Source organism: Homo sapiens, chromosome 10 (assembly GCF_000001405.40).
Source record: "Homo sapiens chromosome 10, GRCh38.p14 Primary Assembly".
Lineage (NCBI taxonomy): Eukaryota > Metazoa > Chordata > Mammalia > Primates > Hominidae > Homo > Homo sapiens.
The window spans coordinates 19,345,759-19,362,084 of NC_000010.11; the positions used below are offsets into that span (position 1 = coordinate 19,345,759).

General features: G+C 35.3%; 1 protein-coding gene across 10 annotated transcripts in view; it reads left to right on the plus strand.

Moving 5' to 3' along the window:
- MALRD1 (MAM and LDL receptor class A domain containing 1) overlaps positions 1-16,326 on the plus strand; it is a 687,552-nt gene that overhangs the window by 298,832 nt on the left and 372,394 nt on the right. For all 10 annotated transcript variants that reach the window (XM_011519453.3, XM_011519455.3, XM_011519454.2 and 7 more), the window contains 2 exons: positions 2,013-2,260; positions 6,248-6,539. In XM_011519453.3, coding sequence (XP_011517755.1) covers positions 2,013-2,260; positions 6,248-6,539 — 540 coding nt within the window. The remainder of the gene's footprint in view (positions 1-2,012; positions 2,261-6,247; positions 6,540-16,326) is intronic.

The following is a 16,326-nucleotide window of genomic DNA, read 5'->3' on the forward strand; positions in this document are numbered from 1 at the left end:
AATCTTTTTTTTTTTAGTTCTTTCAACAGCTAAAAATGATTATTTTAAGCCCTTTTTCTTTATTGTACAAGTTTCTTGCTCAGAGGTGTAATAAAGTTAGCTTACATTTTATGTTAGTATTTTCTTATATATCCCCAAATGACATAGAAACGATGGTAAAACTCGTATGTTTTCTTTTTTAATTTTTAAAATTTAATTTAATTATTTGTAGAGACAAAGTCTCACTTTGTTGGCCAGGATGGTCTTGAACTCCTAGCATCATGTGATCCTCCCACCTTAGCCTCCTAAAATGTTGTGATTACAGGGGTGAAGCACTCCACCCAGCCTCATATGCTTTCATATTCTCCACCTTATAAACTACAAAGAGTAATTGGTTTATTTTGCACCTTGAGATAATTTTATCTGACTTGGGATAACTATAAGAATGTATCTATACAGAAACAAACAAACAAAAACCTCACTGATTTGATGCCAAGTGCAATAGAACTTGGACATTCTTAAAGAGTCATATGTAATAAAATAGAGTACATGATTTGTCCAGGAATTACCATAGCATCTGTGGGGTTATCTGCGTTTCTTTGGCTTGTGCATTGGAGAGCAAATCCCTGAGTGTTTTGATGACAGAATCATTTTTGCCCTCATTTGCCTTAAAAATTTTGAACAATTGTGTAAATGAGGCTTATTTAAGAGAGAAACATTTATCTGAAGACATATCAACATGCTACCCTAGGTTCTTTTCAAGTATTTTTAATATTTGGACACTTATTTCACTTATGATTTTACAGACTTTTATTTCAGTTGTAATATTCAAGAAGAACTTCATAAAGAATTATTGTCGTTAAAGAATTCTAAACAGTACATTTTGTTACTTATCAAATTACTCACTCATTGGTTTTTTGTTTTTTGTTTTTGAGATGGAGTCTCGCTCTATCACCCAGGCTGGATTGCAATGGCACAGTCTCGCTCACTGCACCCTCTACCTCCTGGGTTCAAGCAATTCTTCTGCCTCAGCCTCCCAAGTAGCTGGGACCACAGATGCCTGCCACCATGCCCAGCTAATTTTGTATTTTTAGTAGAGATGGGGTTTTACCGTGTTGGCCAGGCTGGTCTTGAACTCCTGACCTTACGTGATCCACCTGCCTCAGCCTCTCAACATGCTAGGATTACAGGTGTGAGCCACCATGCCCAGCCTCCCTCATTGGTTTTATGCAGAATCATGAATATTGACTTAAAAATGAAAAGTATCAAAAGTCCTAAATATATAAATGTATAAGGTATGACACCTTCATACAACAATGCTCAGTTTTATAACATCTTCACTACCATTTTCAGCTTTATAATTTACTTGCCGCACGATAAAAAGATGCCTGTGTAATTACTACTGTCATGGAAATGGGAAAATAAAACAACTTAAGCAATGACAGTAATAAAATACTTCAAAAAGTACCTGGGAGATAGTGTGGTATTTAATGCAACTTAACCTATTTAATTTCTGCAACTTATTTCAATAAGCTCATTCAAATTATCACACCTTTTTACCTCACTTTTCTGTTTCACAATTTTCTCTAAAATAAAGAACTGTTCTAAAAAAATAACTACTATGATAAATGATAACTTTTGCTTGGGGCAGCATTACCCAACCTAAAATGTATTGCAGAATAATAAACTTAATAAATTTCTTACCAAGACCTGAGAAGCATAGATGAGAAGACAGAATAAATAAATTATATTGACCAAATAGGTATTTAGAGAAGGAAATGTGTGTAATGCTAAAACAGTTTATCAGTTTTGAAACTGGGACCAGATTTGTAGAGAAATGAACTTACAGAAGCCACGGAAATAGCTGTGTGTATCGCAAACCAAAATAGTCTCTTTATATGTTGCTATCAGGATAGCATTATGAAGGTTTCAAATATTACATGATACAGCAAGATCACTGCAGTTTTGAATTGCATGTTTTAAAGTAGGCAAATTTCCATTTTCTGTAACATATATTTGGAAATATTTTCCAGGTACCTCCAGTGGGCGCTGTGATTTCGAATTTGATCTTTGTTCCTGGAAGCAGGAGAAAGATGAGGACTTTGACTGGAACCTGAAAGCTAGCAGCATCCCTGCAGCAGGCACAGAGCCAGCAGCAGATCACACTTTGGGAAATTCATCTGGTCATTACATCTTTATAAAGAGTTTGTTTCCTCAGCAGCCCATGAGAGCTGCCAGAATTTCAAGTCCAGTTATAAGTAAGAGAAGCAAAAACTGCAAGGTATGGGGAAAATCGAACCAACCAACCAAACAAACACAGAATTATTGTGAGCAAGTTTATAAATTGACATACGGAAAACAGAGTGGCTGGGGCCAGAGAAAAGATGAGTTTGAATTTATTCAACTTTGGATATGTGAAGGGGGGAAAAAATGAAGTTCAGAATGAAGGGGAAGGATTGCTATAACTGTTGGAAGAATTTCTCCTATGGATAAATTCCATAGATACTGAAGTTTGGGAAACTGTTGGAAAATTCCATGGTTGTTATTCACAACCATGTATAATACAGAAGAAGTAAGATATCAGTTGTTTTCTCTTAAGAAGCTTAGTACTTATTAAAACTATGGAAATTTTACAAACAGAAATAGAATTAAACAACAGTCAGAATATAATTAAATATCTCCAAGAATGAATATTAGAGATAGTTAGAGCCACAAAAAAAAATTGTTGAGTAAGTCTTCATGAAAAACAAAACAAAAAGGACCCTGAACTTATTCCTAAAAGAAGTAGAATAATTTCTATAAGCAGGAAGAAAACATGACTTGGTCATTAGCCTGTGAAAAAATCATGAAAACATCTATGGAGATTTAAAAGTATAAATAAGGTTGTATGGTTCTTTGGGAAAAGCAGCAGCCTCATACGATAACTATGTATTTACAGGGTTTTCCACCTTCCTTTGTTTATTGTTTGCTTGTTTGTTTATATTCCATAAAAGACTTGAGTTAGCTAGGCTAGGAACTAAATTTACCTTTACATATAGTCCAAATTAAGTGTTCAGAGATCACAAGCACTCAGAGATCTCTTGCTTACAAGAGATGGATACAGAAATAAATACATTTACAATAAGAAATGCAGTCTGTAATTTCTGAACACATGTATTCTGACTAGAGTGTTCCCCAATGTTTGACCTCCAAAAAGCAAACAAATTACATCCAGAAACTTTCTTCCCTTCCCTTCCCCTTCCCTTCAACAGTCTCACTCTGTCGCCCAGGCTGGAGTGCAGTGGCGTGATTTCAGCTCACTGTAACATCCACCTGCCAGGTTCAAGTGGTTCTCCTGCCTCAGATGCCTAAGGAGCTGGGATTACAGGCGTGCACAACCATCCCAGCTAATTTCTGTATTTTTAGTAGCGATGAGGTTTCACTATGTTGCCCAGGCTGGTCTCGAACTCCTGACCTCAGGTGATCTGCCCACCTTGACCTCCCAAAGTGTCGGGATTACAGGCGTGAGCCCCTGCGCCCAGCCCAACTTACACTTCTCTGTGCCTGTGTCCACAACTGACAGAGCCCTAACCATGGGAGAGAAACATATCAAACAGCCTTCAACACCTTACCACTGCCATAGTATTAATACATGTTAAACTTTTACTTTGTCTTAAGAGTTTTTCTGTCTCATCATGAGTTGACTTTATAGTTTAACTCTCATAGAGCAATTTCATCTATCACATAGACAGTGAAGATTTTTCTGTAAGGAAAGTGACATGATCAGGTGAGAGTTTCAGTGACAGAACTTGGTCAGCAGTCTAGAATGAAAGTAAATCATACAAATCTATTTTGGCAAAAATTGAGTTTTTATCAAGTATAGTTTTTATCTGTTTTTGCTGTCTTCCAGATAACTTAGTACTTTCTCAGGAATAAAACCCAAGCACACCAGATTTTCTCTATGTTGGGTATATATCTATAAATTTAGCTTTATACATCTATAGATATTCTGAAAATCACAAATTCATTTTAGTCTTATAAACCTAATTAAATATTAAATACAAAATACGAAAATTCCAGGTTGACCTCTCAGCTTTTCTATTTAAACACTTCTAAAAATGTCCAGTGGATTATTTTTTCATACTGTAGTAACTAAGATTTCATCCATTGCTATATTCCCCTGGTCCCAGAACTAGAGTCCCCAATGTTTTAAACATCTGTGTGAGAATAATGAAGTATGCCTAGAAGAAATGTCAAAAAATTAATGATGAATGGTTCATTTTATGAATATTTATGATACAGATTGAATAAAAGCAAGTAAGGAAAGATTGTGCTAGGAAATATTGGGTCTTCTATATTAAAAATATATTCATCGGGTAAGCAGATTGACCTCCCAGATTTTTATGAGAATCACCTCTGCCCCTTCATCTTGTGGAATACCTTTCAAGCAGAGATAATCAATTTTTTTTTCTTTGTAGGGGTTGGTATATAGGAAGGATCCATGTAGAGGGTGATGAGAGAAGAGATGAGACCTTAATGATTTTTTCTTTTTTTCTTTTTTTTTTTTTTTTTGAGATGGAGTCTCACTTTGTTGCCCGGGCTGGAGTGCAGTAGTGTGATCTCTGCTCACTGCAACCTCTGCCTCCCAGGTTCAAGCAATTCTCCTGCCTCAGCCTCCTGAGTAGCTGGGACTGCAGTCGCACACCACCACTCCTAGCTGTTTTTTGTTGTTGTATTTTTAGTAAAGACAGGGTTTCACCAAGTTGGCAAGGCTGGTCTCGAACTCCTGACCTCAGGTGATCCACCTACCTTGGCCTCCCAAAGTGAGGGGATTACAGGTGTGAGCCACCGTGCCTGCCAATGCTTAGAAGATTTTTATTCACTCTCACTACCCTGTGTTAGGCTTTGTCGTCACCAGATGTTCCCCTTGGAAATAGGGGTGTTGGTGCATCTGTTTGCATGTTAACCTGATGGCATCATTCAGCAAATGACCTGAAGAAGATATAAACGTATTTACTGAGACATAAAACATATGCCTCATATTTGTTGCACAAATAAGACAAACAAAAGGAGAAGTCCCTGTTTGTAGCTGCAAGGGGTCCTTGCAGAAGTGTGCCACAGAGGTGGTCCTGGGATGCTGTCTGAGAGGTTGGCCCCTGGCCACTTTGTTTCTCACTCAAATGAGTCATGGTACCCAAGTTTCACCGGTACCAGGACAATCCATAATGATCACAGAGCTCATGTTGGGAAAGTTAGTCCATAGAACAAGTATTTTGGGGTCATAGAATAATAATTAAAGATTTCATCAGTTGGGAGATGGGTAGAGTCACTGCATGGCTCACCCATTCTTGGTTGATCCTTTTTGAATTAATGCACTGCATATATGATTTAACGGTGTTCATTTTTCTTCTTGTAGAGTATGATATATGTGACTGCTAGTGTTTCAAACATGTTTTTTTCCTATGTGCAGAACAATTTCATCACTGTTTTCCCTCATTCACACAAATGACAAGACAAAAGCTTTAAAGGCTTTGAATTCCTACTGCTCCTAACCTGTCCTGTTCTTTTCCCAGAATTTTTCCAGACTTTTTTCACTGTGTGACAATCACTCAAAATCTAGTAAATTTCATCTATGCAACATTGAAATATTAATCCCTGAAAATACTTTTTATTAATTTTTACTCAAAGAAAAGCTCCGTGGGTTGCTCTGTGAAGGCCCATTTGTAGCATTTCAAGTAAAATTTGGATAATTACTGTTCTGGGGTTTTGTTGTATTTAAATGGAGCCCAGAGAATCTTACAGAACTGAAAAAGTGTTTCAAGTACAAGAATGGCAGTGGAATAAGCAAAAGAAGAAAATAAAATAATTTAAGTTTCATGAGATTAAAAATAATCTTCTTTTGTTCCTGTTATTTCTTAATCATGAAAAGTCTTTTTGTATAATGCATAGCAATTTAATGATCTTGTATTCCTTTGACAATGGGCTCTAAGAGTTTATGAAGGAATCTTGCTTTCAGAAGTCACAGAAAGAAAGTAAACTCAGCCCTTTAATTCCTACTAAATTTCTATTTGATTCTTCCTCTGCTGTCTCCCATACATTGCAACATATGACTCAAGGCTGGTCTAACTTCACTCAGTGTTAAAGTGCAGACAGAGCAAGAGAATAAACAGGTGTAATTTTCCTCCAGAAATCTGTTAATAAAGAAGAGGGCAATGTGATAGAATTGAAAATAATATCATATTAATTATACTAATCATATCGTATGTAATATTCCTATTCTTGATTACAGATTATTTTTCATTATCACATGTATGGAAATGGCATTGGGGCACTCACCTTAATGCAGGTGTCAGTCACAAACCAAACGAAGGTTCTACTTAACCTCACTGTAGAACAAGGCAATTTCTGGCGGAGAGAAGAACTGTCACTGTTTGGTGATGAAGACTTCCAACTCAAATTTGAAGGTAGAGTTGGGAAAGGTCAGCGTGGAGACATTGCACTTGATGACATTGTGCTTACAGAAAATTGTCTATCACTCCATGATTCCGTGCAAGAAGAACTGGCAGTGCCTCTTCCAACAGGTACATTCTAATCTGTGTGTGTGTGTGGTATTTTTGCATGGTGAAAGGTGAAAAGGAAGAAAGAAAATGCAAAAGAAATAGCATAAACACCTAGTAATTTATCACTTTCATAAAGAAAATATAAGATCTTTTTAAACTCAAAAAAATATTTCTCAAGCCTTTATTCATAAAAATGTCTTCCACATTTTCTCCAAGTGTTTTGGTCTGTTTATCAGTTCCTGGCTTCTCTGTTTAGTCACCTTCCTCTTAGATCAATAAAATAAGAGAAGACTCCTTTGTTTGCAGTCTGCTTCAGAATTTAATCCTAAGCAAACATCTATTCACTTCCAATAAAACATAGGTAAATTGAGGACAGAGTTATTCAATTTTAATTAGACATTTTTGTGGTTATGATATTTGCCACCTTCTTCATGGACCATGAGCATGCCAATTTGATATTGAAACAAAGCAGATGATTAAATGTGTCCATATGTCCTTTTAACCTAAAATAACTTTTGATAATTTGTTGAAAGAATTTTACTCAAATGTTGAGTTGGCAGATGTTCAGTATAATTCCTACAGATACAATGTTGTAAGTAGTAGAATTAGCAAGCACCATTAACCCATATAATATTAAAGGTCTGAGATGAAAATAAATGCAATAAATATTATTAACGAGACAAAGGAGTAAATTTTCTTAGCCAGTGATATGATAGATACTACTTTTTTTTTCTTTTTTTCTTTTTTTGAGACAGGATGTAGCTCAGTCACCCACACTGGAGTGCAGTGGTACAATCTAAGTTCACTGCAACCTCTTCCTCCTGGGCTCAATTGATCCTCCCGCCTCAGCCTCCTGAATAGCTGGGTTTACAGGCATGCTCCACCACACCTGGCAAGTTTTTGTGTTTTTTGCAGAGATGGGGTCTCACTGTATTGCCTAGGTTGGTCTCAGACTCTGGGGCTCAAGAGATCCACCTGCCTTGGCCTCCCGAAGTACTGGGATTATAGGCATGAACCACCATGCCCAGCAGATATTAATTTTTTAAACCATGAGTTTAGTGTAGAAAACAGAAGTGCAGTTTCATTGATATTTAAATTATATTTATTATAATTGATGAATATAAAAATGGTTTATTAAGAGCAAACTAATTTGTTTGCTCTGGCTTATAACATAGTAGGTGGAATGGGCAGTGTTGCCACTTCTGCCTTCCCCGTTTATTTCAAAGCAAGTATTTTCATTTGGTTACAAAGAAGTTTCTAGATAAATGTTTCCCAGTTGACAATTAGTTAAACAGGCTCTTTGCCTGACAGGCTTCTAACACTATATGGAATAGTATAGAGGAAAGCAAATAAACATTTTAAGACTGTAATGAAAGGGAAATATACATAGGTGGATTTAATGCAAAGGTAATTGACCTGCCCAAGATACTCTACTTCTCCAAGAAAAGCTTTGCCTTTCATTCTGTGTGGGATGTTTGATGGCAGATATAGGTCTTATATAAGTCTGGTCCTTTGAAGAGTAATTATTTGATCGTAATAAAAAATAATCTTGTAGCATCCAGTTGGTGGGGGAGCAAGAGTTTTCTGGTGGTTTTGTTTGTTTGTTTGTTTGTTTGTTTTTTGTTTTTTGGTAGAGATGAGTTTTCGTTATGTTGGCCAGGCTGGTCTGAAACTCTTGAGCTCAAAGCAATCCACCTGCCTCAGCCTCCCAAAGTCCTAGGATTTCAGGCATGAGCCACATGCCCGACTCAAGGAAGCAACATTAAAAAAAAAAGTTAAACCACTTTAAAATTTAATAAACAACTATTGAGTGGGATACTAAAGGAACAAACCAATCTTGTTGGGGATTTTAAGACTTTAAACTTGTAAAATCTTGAATGAGGTCATATTTTAGGAAATCTGCAACAGGAAAGTTTTAAAGTATGTACAAAATAGTATTGATTATACACTAAATACAAATTAAGGGCACAGATGAATCATACCAGAGCTCTTTGAATATGATAATATTTGAGGGTGTGTATTAAAATTTTTAATGAATATAATTTGTTTTAAAAAATTGCTCTTAAAAATAATACAAGATGGCAAGTGGGTAGGAAAAAAATGCCTTGAATAACTTTAATATTGAGTAGGATGTAACTAAATACCAGGAGAAATATTTAAACATTATGCAGTGCTGAACACTAGATTGTATTCCTTCAATCTAACTGTATTTTTGTACCCATTAACCAACCTCTCTTTATCTCCCCATCCCCACTACCCTTTCCAGCCTCTGGTAACTACCATTCTACTCTCTACCTTTGTGGGATCATTTTTTTTTGTTCTCGCATGTGAGTGAGAACACGTGATATTTGTCTCTCTGCCTGGCTTATTTCACTTAACATAATATCCTCCAGTTCCATCCATGTTGCAAATAGGATGAATGTAATTAACAATAATTTACTGTGTATTTCCAAATAACTAGAGGAATGAATTTGGAATGTTCCCAACATTTAAAAAAATGATAAATGTTTGAGGTGATGGTTATCCCAATTACCCTGATTTGATCATTACACATCACATGCTTGTATCAAAATATTACATGCCCCCTATAAGTATGTACAGCTATTGTGTATCCATAAATATTAAAAATAAAAAAGAAATTTGGAGAAAAGTAAGCAGAAAAACGTTTATGAGGTTGTAGTGAAAAATAAAACATTCAGCTGAGGATATCTAATTTGAAATGTATTTATAGGATGCTCAAGAATTTGGAACCACACTTAGAGCTCATAGGAGGGAAAGATCCCTTCAGTTTGTAGGGCAGGGGCAGTGGAATTTGAGCCCTGGAGGACCAGATAAAGGATATGGTTGTGAGAGTGCTGTAGGCAGGCTGAATGGCATAAGAAAGAACAGGGATGGTTCATGCACACTGCAAGGTGGGCTGTGGGTGATGATTTGGCTGAGGTGGGCACCTTATGTAGCTATCTGAGATATTACAAAGGAAATAGAGCCAAATTGTGGACCACCTTGAGTATCAGTTTAATTTTTTCTCAAAATGAACCTACATTGAAAAGATATTAAATGGTCTTAGAAAGCAAAGAATAAACAAGAATTTAATATAAGAATATGAAAAGTTAATATAAAAGGTTAATTATATTAAACATTAATATAATTTATTACATTAAAATAAAAAAGAGTATTCATTCATATAAAGTATGATAACTTGTGGGAATGTCTGCAGTAGAAAGACTCCAAGAAAAACAACTGAATGCCTTTATTTCTCTGATTTAGGAGCATTCTGAAAATTGAGACGAGATACTGCAATATTTGTATAGCTATCTCAGCTGTAACTCTTACATTCAAGCAGATAACAAATAAAAATGCATGTGGAGTTCACTTTCCTATAAGCTACTTGATGTACCTTTAATTGTGCCTTCAGAAACTAAAAGTATATACTCATTTCTTGGTAAAAGTGATATGCTAAACTTGGTTTAGAGACTCAAGCTGCGAAATGATTCTGAAACACCTTAACTTCACTGTGAGTTTAGAAGACTCTGCAGGAGTCTGATATTTTTAGGGAAGAACATATATTATATATATATATATTATATATGATATATATTAGCTAAGCATATATATATGTTGAATATATATATATGCTGAGGTTATATATCATATATAATATATATATGCTAGGGTTAGGGTTGGAATGCAGACAATATAAGTCACTCTAAATATTTTAAGCAGAGTGTAATTCGGTGGAGACAATTTTATATGTGTAAATTGTTGAATTGGTTGGATGAATGAGCTCTAATGAGGTCTTCTAGAAATGGCTCCCAGAATTGGCTCTCCGTAAGACCAACTACCACTACAGTAGTTACAGGACATCTTTCTTGGTGAGATATATTTATGTCTATATGTATATCTATATCATTTGTATATATATGAAGTTACAGAACATCTTTCTTGGAGAGGTATATCTATATGTAAATCTGTAACTATATCTAACATCTGTCTGTATCTATATGGAAGGGAGGATAAAGCCAGAAGTGGGAATAGTGGTATCTTGAACAAATGAAAAGCCAGCATGTTTCTTTTGATGTTTATGGAAGTTGGTGCAAGCGAGTTAAGGAATACCATGAATTTCCAATAGAGTCACAATGTGTAAGCCACATATTTACTTTTACATTTTCTAATAGTCACATTTTTAAAAACGAAATTAATTTTAATAATATATTTTAATTCGATCTACCCAAATTTTAGCAGCTTAACACAAAATCAGTATAAAGTATTAATGAGATATTTTGCATTCTTGTTTACATACTAAGTTTTTAAATCCAGTGTGTATTGTATACTCACAGCACATCTCAATTTGAATTAGTCACATTTCAATTACCCAGTAGGTACTCATGGCTATTGGTTACCCCAGTGGACAGCAAAGGAGATAAAATCAGCACTCTAGGGCACTTTTGGGCCTGTCTCTGACAAAAGAGCTCCATTAGTTGATGTGATATTTGTAAATTTCCAATAATTTCAGCTATTTTCCTATTTAATAGAAGTATAAAAATGTACCTTGCCAGGCACGGTGGCTCACACCTGTAATCCCAGCACTTTGGGAGCCTGAGGTGGGCAGATCATCTGAGGTCAGGAGTTCAAGACCAGCCTGACCAACATGGCAAAACCCCATCTCTACTAAAAATACAAAAATTAGCCAGGCATGGTGGTGGGTGCCTGTAATTCCAGCTACCTGGGAGGCTGAGGCAGGGAGAATTGCTTGAACCTGGGAGGCGGAGGTTGCAGTGAGCTGAGATCTTGCCACTGCACTCCAGCCTGGGCGACAGAGTGAGACTCTGTCTGAAAAAAAAAAATAAAAAACAAAACAAAAAATGCACCTCAAGGTCAAATGTGAAAGCACAGGCACCATGTTCTAGTGGATTAGATATTAATATCAGACTCTCCTCTTATTAGCTATTTTTACCCAATGTATCTGAAACACAGTTTCCTCTTCTATAAAGCAGAGATAATTTCCACATGTTTCTTAGGTTCTAAGATTCTTAAGAATTAAAAGAGGTAACTGCCCATGTAATTTACTTAATGTCTGGCATATGGTAGGAATTTTTCAAAAAAAAAAGTCTCATTTTACATTATCCTGTATTTTTTATATCTCTACCTGTATTCTTTAGGTGGTGTAAACATTTGACAGTAAACCTTGTTTATTTGCATTTTATTAAGCACGTTTCTTTTATTTGCTTTGGCAAAATTATATTTCTTGCACATATCACAAGCATATCCTTATTTTATATTACTTTATAACTATAAAATCTTATTATTTATTGAAAACATCTCTTATTTTTGATGTCTCATGAGTAGTGTATGTGTGTGTATCTTTAGAATGTTTAATGATTCTTAATTTCTCATTACTGCAAAAACACTTAACTTGGAATTTGCACAATGTAAACTGGGATAAATGGCATTATGTTCTAGCAACAGTAACAACATCCATTAAACTTTTGGAAATGACTCTAGTTCACACAGACTTTTCATCTGTATTCATGTGTGTAGGCTAACAATTCCATCAAGGATAGCTTAAAATAGAAAAGACAAGAGGGGAAAAATGTATATATTTAGGAAGATGCAATTGAGCAGAATCTGGAATCAGTAATTCTGATTAATCAAAATAGACCCAGGGCTTTATTAGCAAAAGTAATATTAAATTATTATTAAGTCCCTAGGAGTCACATTTAAGAGCTTATCTGGATGGCAATTTTGTTAATTGCTAAATGATGAAGGATAAAAATAATTGTTTTATGAATTTTAATAAGAAAAAGACAACCAACTTTCCTCTTCTAAATGTCCATATGCAAATTCAATCACGGTCATATTCTCTACTTATTGACATATATTTAATAAAACCTATATATATGCAATCAGGGCAGGAGTCAAGTGTGTGTGTGTGTGTGTGTGTGTGTGTGTGTGTGTATGAGTTTAATCACCACAGCTACTTCCAAACAGGAGTTATTCAATACATCTGTTTTGGGATATAACATGGAAATCAGTTTCTTTAAAAAACGTATGTAAAACAATGAGGACTGAATAGCTCATCTTTCAGGTCACTCATTTCTCTGCAATATTTAGCAGTGCTTTAAAACTAGTGCCTAGTGATGAGAATGCTGGTGTAGCAACTCAGTCAGAGTCCTGAAATAGGAATATCTGACTGGTTGTGTGTGGCTAAATAATTTCGTGAAACCTACATATGCTGTTTAGTGCAAAGTACGTGTTACATGCTGAGATTTAAAGACATAAACTTGGATCTTGACACTGCTTACTAACTGTGTGATGTCAGCTAATCTACTTCAACCTCTCTAATTCCTATCTTTACGTTCTGTACCATGGGGACTGTCGGAATCTACTTCTGAGCGATTTGAAAAATAAATCAGATAGTAACATATAGCACTTTTGGAACAATGTATGGAATACAGTCGGTGTTGTGTGTTACTTTTTTTGCCTCTCTTTATTCCTGCTAAGGAGACTATGAAATTAAACTGTACACATGGTGACATTTCTTAAAAGGATATTTTATACTTGCTGTTCTTTCTTCCTCATGTTCTATTCACTGCTGAAAGCAAGGGTTCAGTTCTCCTTTGCCTTCACTTTCTCTTCAGAAAAAAAAATTGCTTTCAAAAAGTCTCTAAAATTTCTAATTGCTAAATGTGGTGGTTTAACTGATTATACATAATAAGAAATGGAGAAGAAAGAACAGTCACAATAAAGATCCAGAGATAGAAGTGACATGACGGCTACTGATGGACAAAGGGGACAAAGAAGAAATTATAGTTTTGAACGTAGAAAACCTTACAAAACAGAACTGAGATTCAGAGAAGTTGATGAGTTGGCTGGATATGATGTGTGTGAGGGAGAGAAAAGTTCATTTTTAAAAATATTGGCATATTCCACCGAATATTTTCCAAATTAATGTTTTCCCAATAAAACACTTCTTGGTTTTTAATATCCAAATTTCACAGAATGCCTCTTTTTGCTTTTGGTTTTTGACTAATATCTGTATTGGAAATACATATTGACATCACCCCAAACACACTAGACTACTGTTCATACAGTATGTTGTGCAAGAAAAATCACAAGTTCCATTCCAAATACAAGTTCCATTCCAAACTGGTAGACAAAGACGTTTTGAAGATTTTGTGGAGTAGCAAGGGAGGCTGTTCATCATGGGTGTTGCTGGAACTGGGAGAAACAGCACAGCATTAGATGCACTGTGGGCCAATACTCCACTGCGCACTTCTTCCAAATAAATTTCACTATTGTCTTTCCTGTGTAGTCATGTTTTTGTCTAACTTGAGCTATAAATGGCCCTAGAAGTTGAGAAAGTGTTGGAGAAAATTGTGGAGAGGAAAGCAAAGCAAGTGAAAAAAAAAGACATCACGAGGTAGGAGAACATAAAAAGAATACAGGATTTTGACCCAGGAGAGCTGGCTTTGATGAAGTAGATGAAAAAAAAAATAATTAAAGAACTCTTGGAAAATGTAACTGAGGGATTCACTACCAAGTTTATTTATATAAACATGTAATGTTAGTCTAAAGAAGACAGCAGTGAAGACCCAACAAACCAGCTCATCACACGGATAGACATCACTGGTTTCAAAGAATTTATGGCCCTTGCAAATGCCATGATAAACATTACACCTTTATTAGTTTCACTGGATTTCATCTGCATTTTAAGAACTTAGAATGATGGTAGATATGGAATACCTTATAATTATCCCCATTTACATAATGGGAAATTTAAAAAGAGAAAAATTAAAATAATTATTATAATTATAATGGGAAATTGCCTCTAGGATCTAGCATTTCATTTATATAAGCAGGACATCTGACTTTCAGGAATACATTACTAAAAGTATATGAGTAGGGGGTATACTTTGTTTAAATTCTCCATGGGGCATGATGGTGTATATATTCAGTCAGCACTTGGACTTGTGAAACTTCATATCTCTGAATGGCCAGGGATGAACTGGGCCTTTTAATGTCTGAAAGCTCTGTTTATTTTCTGCTACCTAGGTCTATTTAAAAATACTTATCTTCTGTTCGTGGATCTAATGATAAGTAGCCTAAATAGCTCCACAGCCTCTCTCTCCTTTAAATATAAGATATTTTCCTGGAAACCTGCTTTTTTGTATATTTGTCCTAAGGACTAAAATTTCTTCATTATGGCAGCTAGATTGTCTACCCATCCCTGCTCACTCTCATTCCCAAATTCCTCTATTGCTGGTGATAACTATATTTTACCTATCCTCTTTCTTCCAATTTCAGATGTTATAGTACAGAAATTGTATACAATTCTGTATGGCCTGCATAGAAAACACTCCTGGAAATACTAGCTAATATTTTTAATATACTTAAATTGCTTTTGAATATAACAACACATAGTAAACAGCCTTATAAATATTGACACAGCAGCTTCTCCCACATTATTTACCCAGTGCATCAATTTAAAAATGCATGACATCATTATGTATGAAAATTATAGAATGATTTAGTAGAAAATAGTAATAATGTTAAGTTGCATATTATTGTACTGCAATATTTGTTCATAGTAGCATAGTGTTATTTTAAAATCTCTGGTTAAGGTAACCAGTGAAGTTTTTTTTTTGAAATTCATTCTTTCATATAGCTTTACTATGGTCTCATTATTACACGAATTAACTACATAAAAGTAAGCACCATTGCCTAAACAAGTTGTCATTGTTTTATCAAATCACCCAAGACTGGAGGTGTGGTAGTCTGCTATTTGCTCCTCAACAGCCATTCTCTTCTGTTTCTTGTAGTAATAAAACTCCCAATACTTATATAGATACATAGCCAAACAGAGTAACGACTCTATTTCCCAGTCTCTGTTATCACCAGTGTGGAACATGTGAATATATTTTGCCAATGGAATGTGAACATATACTATACACAATCTGTAGTTTGTGCAATTAAACAGAAGAGGCATTCCCTCCATTTCCCTTCTCTCCTTCCCACTGGCCAGCATGTGAATGTGAGGGCAGGAGCTCAAGCTTTGATCTCAGTTCATGAGTTTGAAGAATTGCCTCTTCAGCAAAGAACATGGTAGAAGGGGTCTGGTTCCCATCCCCCAGACACTAAAGAGCTGCCATATCAGCCTACGATTTCTTAGCTCATATTGTTCTGTGAAAAAGAGAATAATCTCTCACCTTTTCACTGCTATCTTGTGGTTTGGCATAGCAGCTAAGCCTACATCTTAATAAAGGAACTTACTATTTTTCATTATTATGTGCTACGTAACTAGGATATTTAACTGAATGTTGGCTTATCCCTAGTTAAACTCAGAAGATCTCTAATTTCCCAGAAGTCATCAAGAAAGATGTTCTGTGACTTCTGTATTGGTAGTCGGTTTCATGGAGAGCCAATTCTGGGAGCCATTTCTGGAAGACCTCAATAGAGCTCACTCCTCTAACCATTTCAACATTTTATCTATGTAAAATTCTCTCCATAAAATTACATTCTGCTTAAAATATTTATGGTGATTTAGATCATCTGCATTTAAACCCTGACTAACCCCAGTATTTCTTATCAAAAGTTCGGTTTTATTGTTTGAATCACTTGTGGTTGTATAAATTTTCTAGATGTGACATTCTGATTCTAAAGATTCAAATTTTTTTCCCAAGAAAGTGCCCCAAATTTTACTTATAGGACCCTTCCAGGCTTGGTTTTAATCTTTATTCTAATTCTGCAATCTGATGAGTCAAATCCTGTGTCTGATTTTTGCCTGCGTCAGCTTTGTGCCTACAAGCAA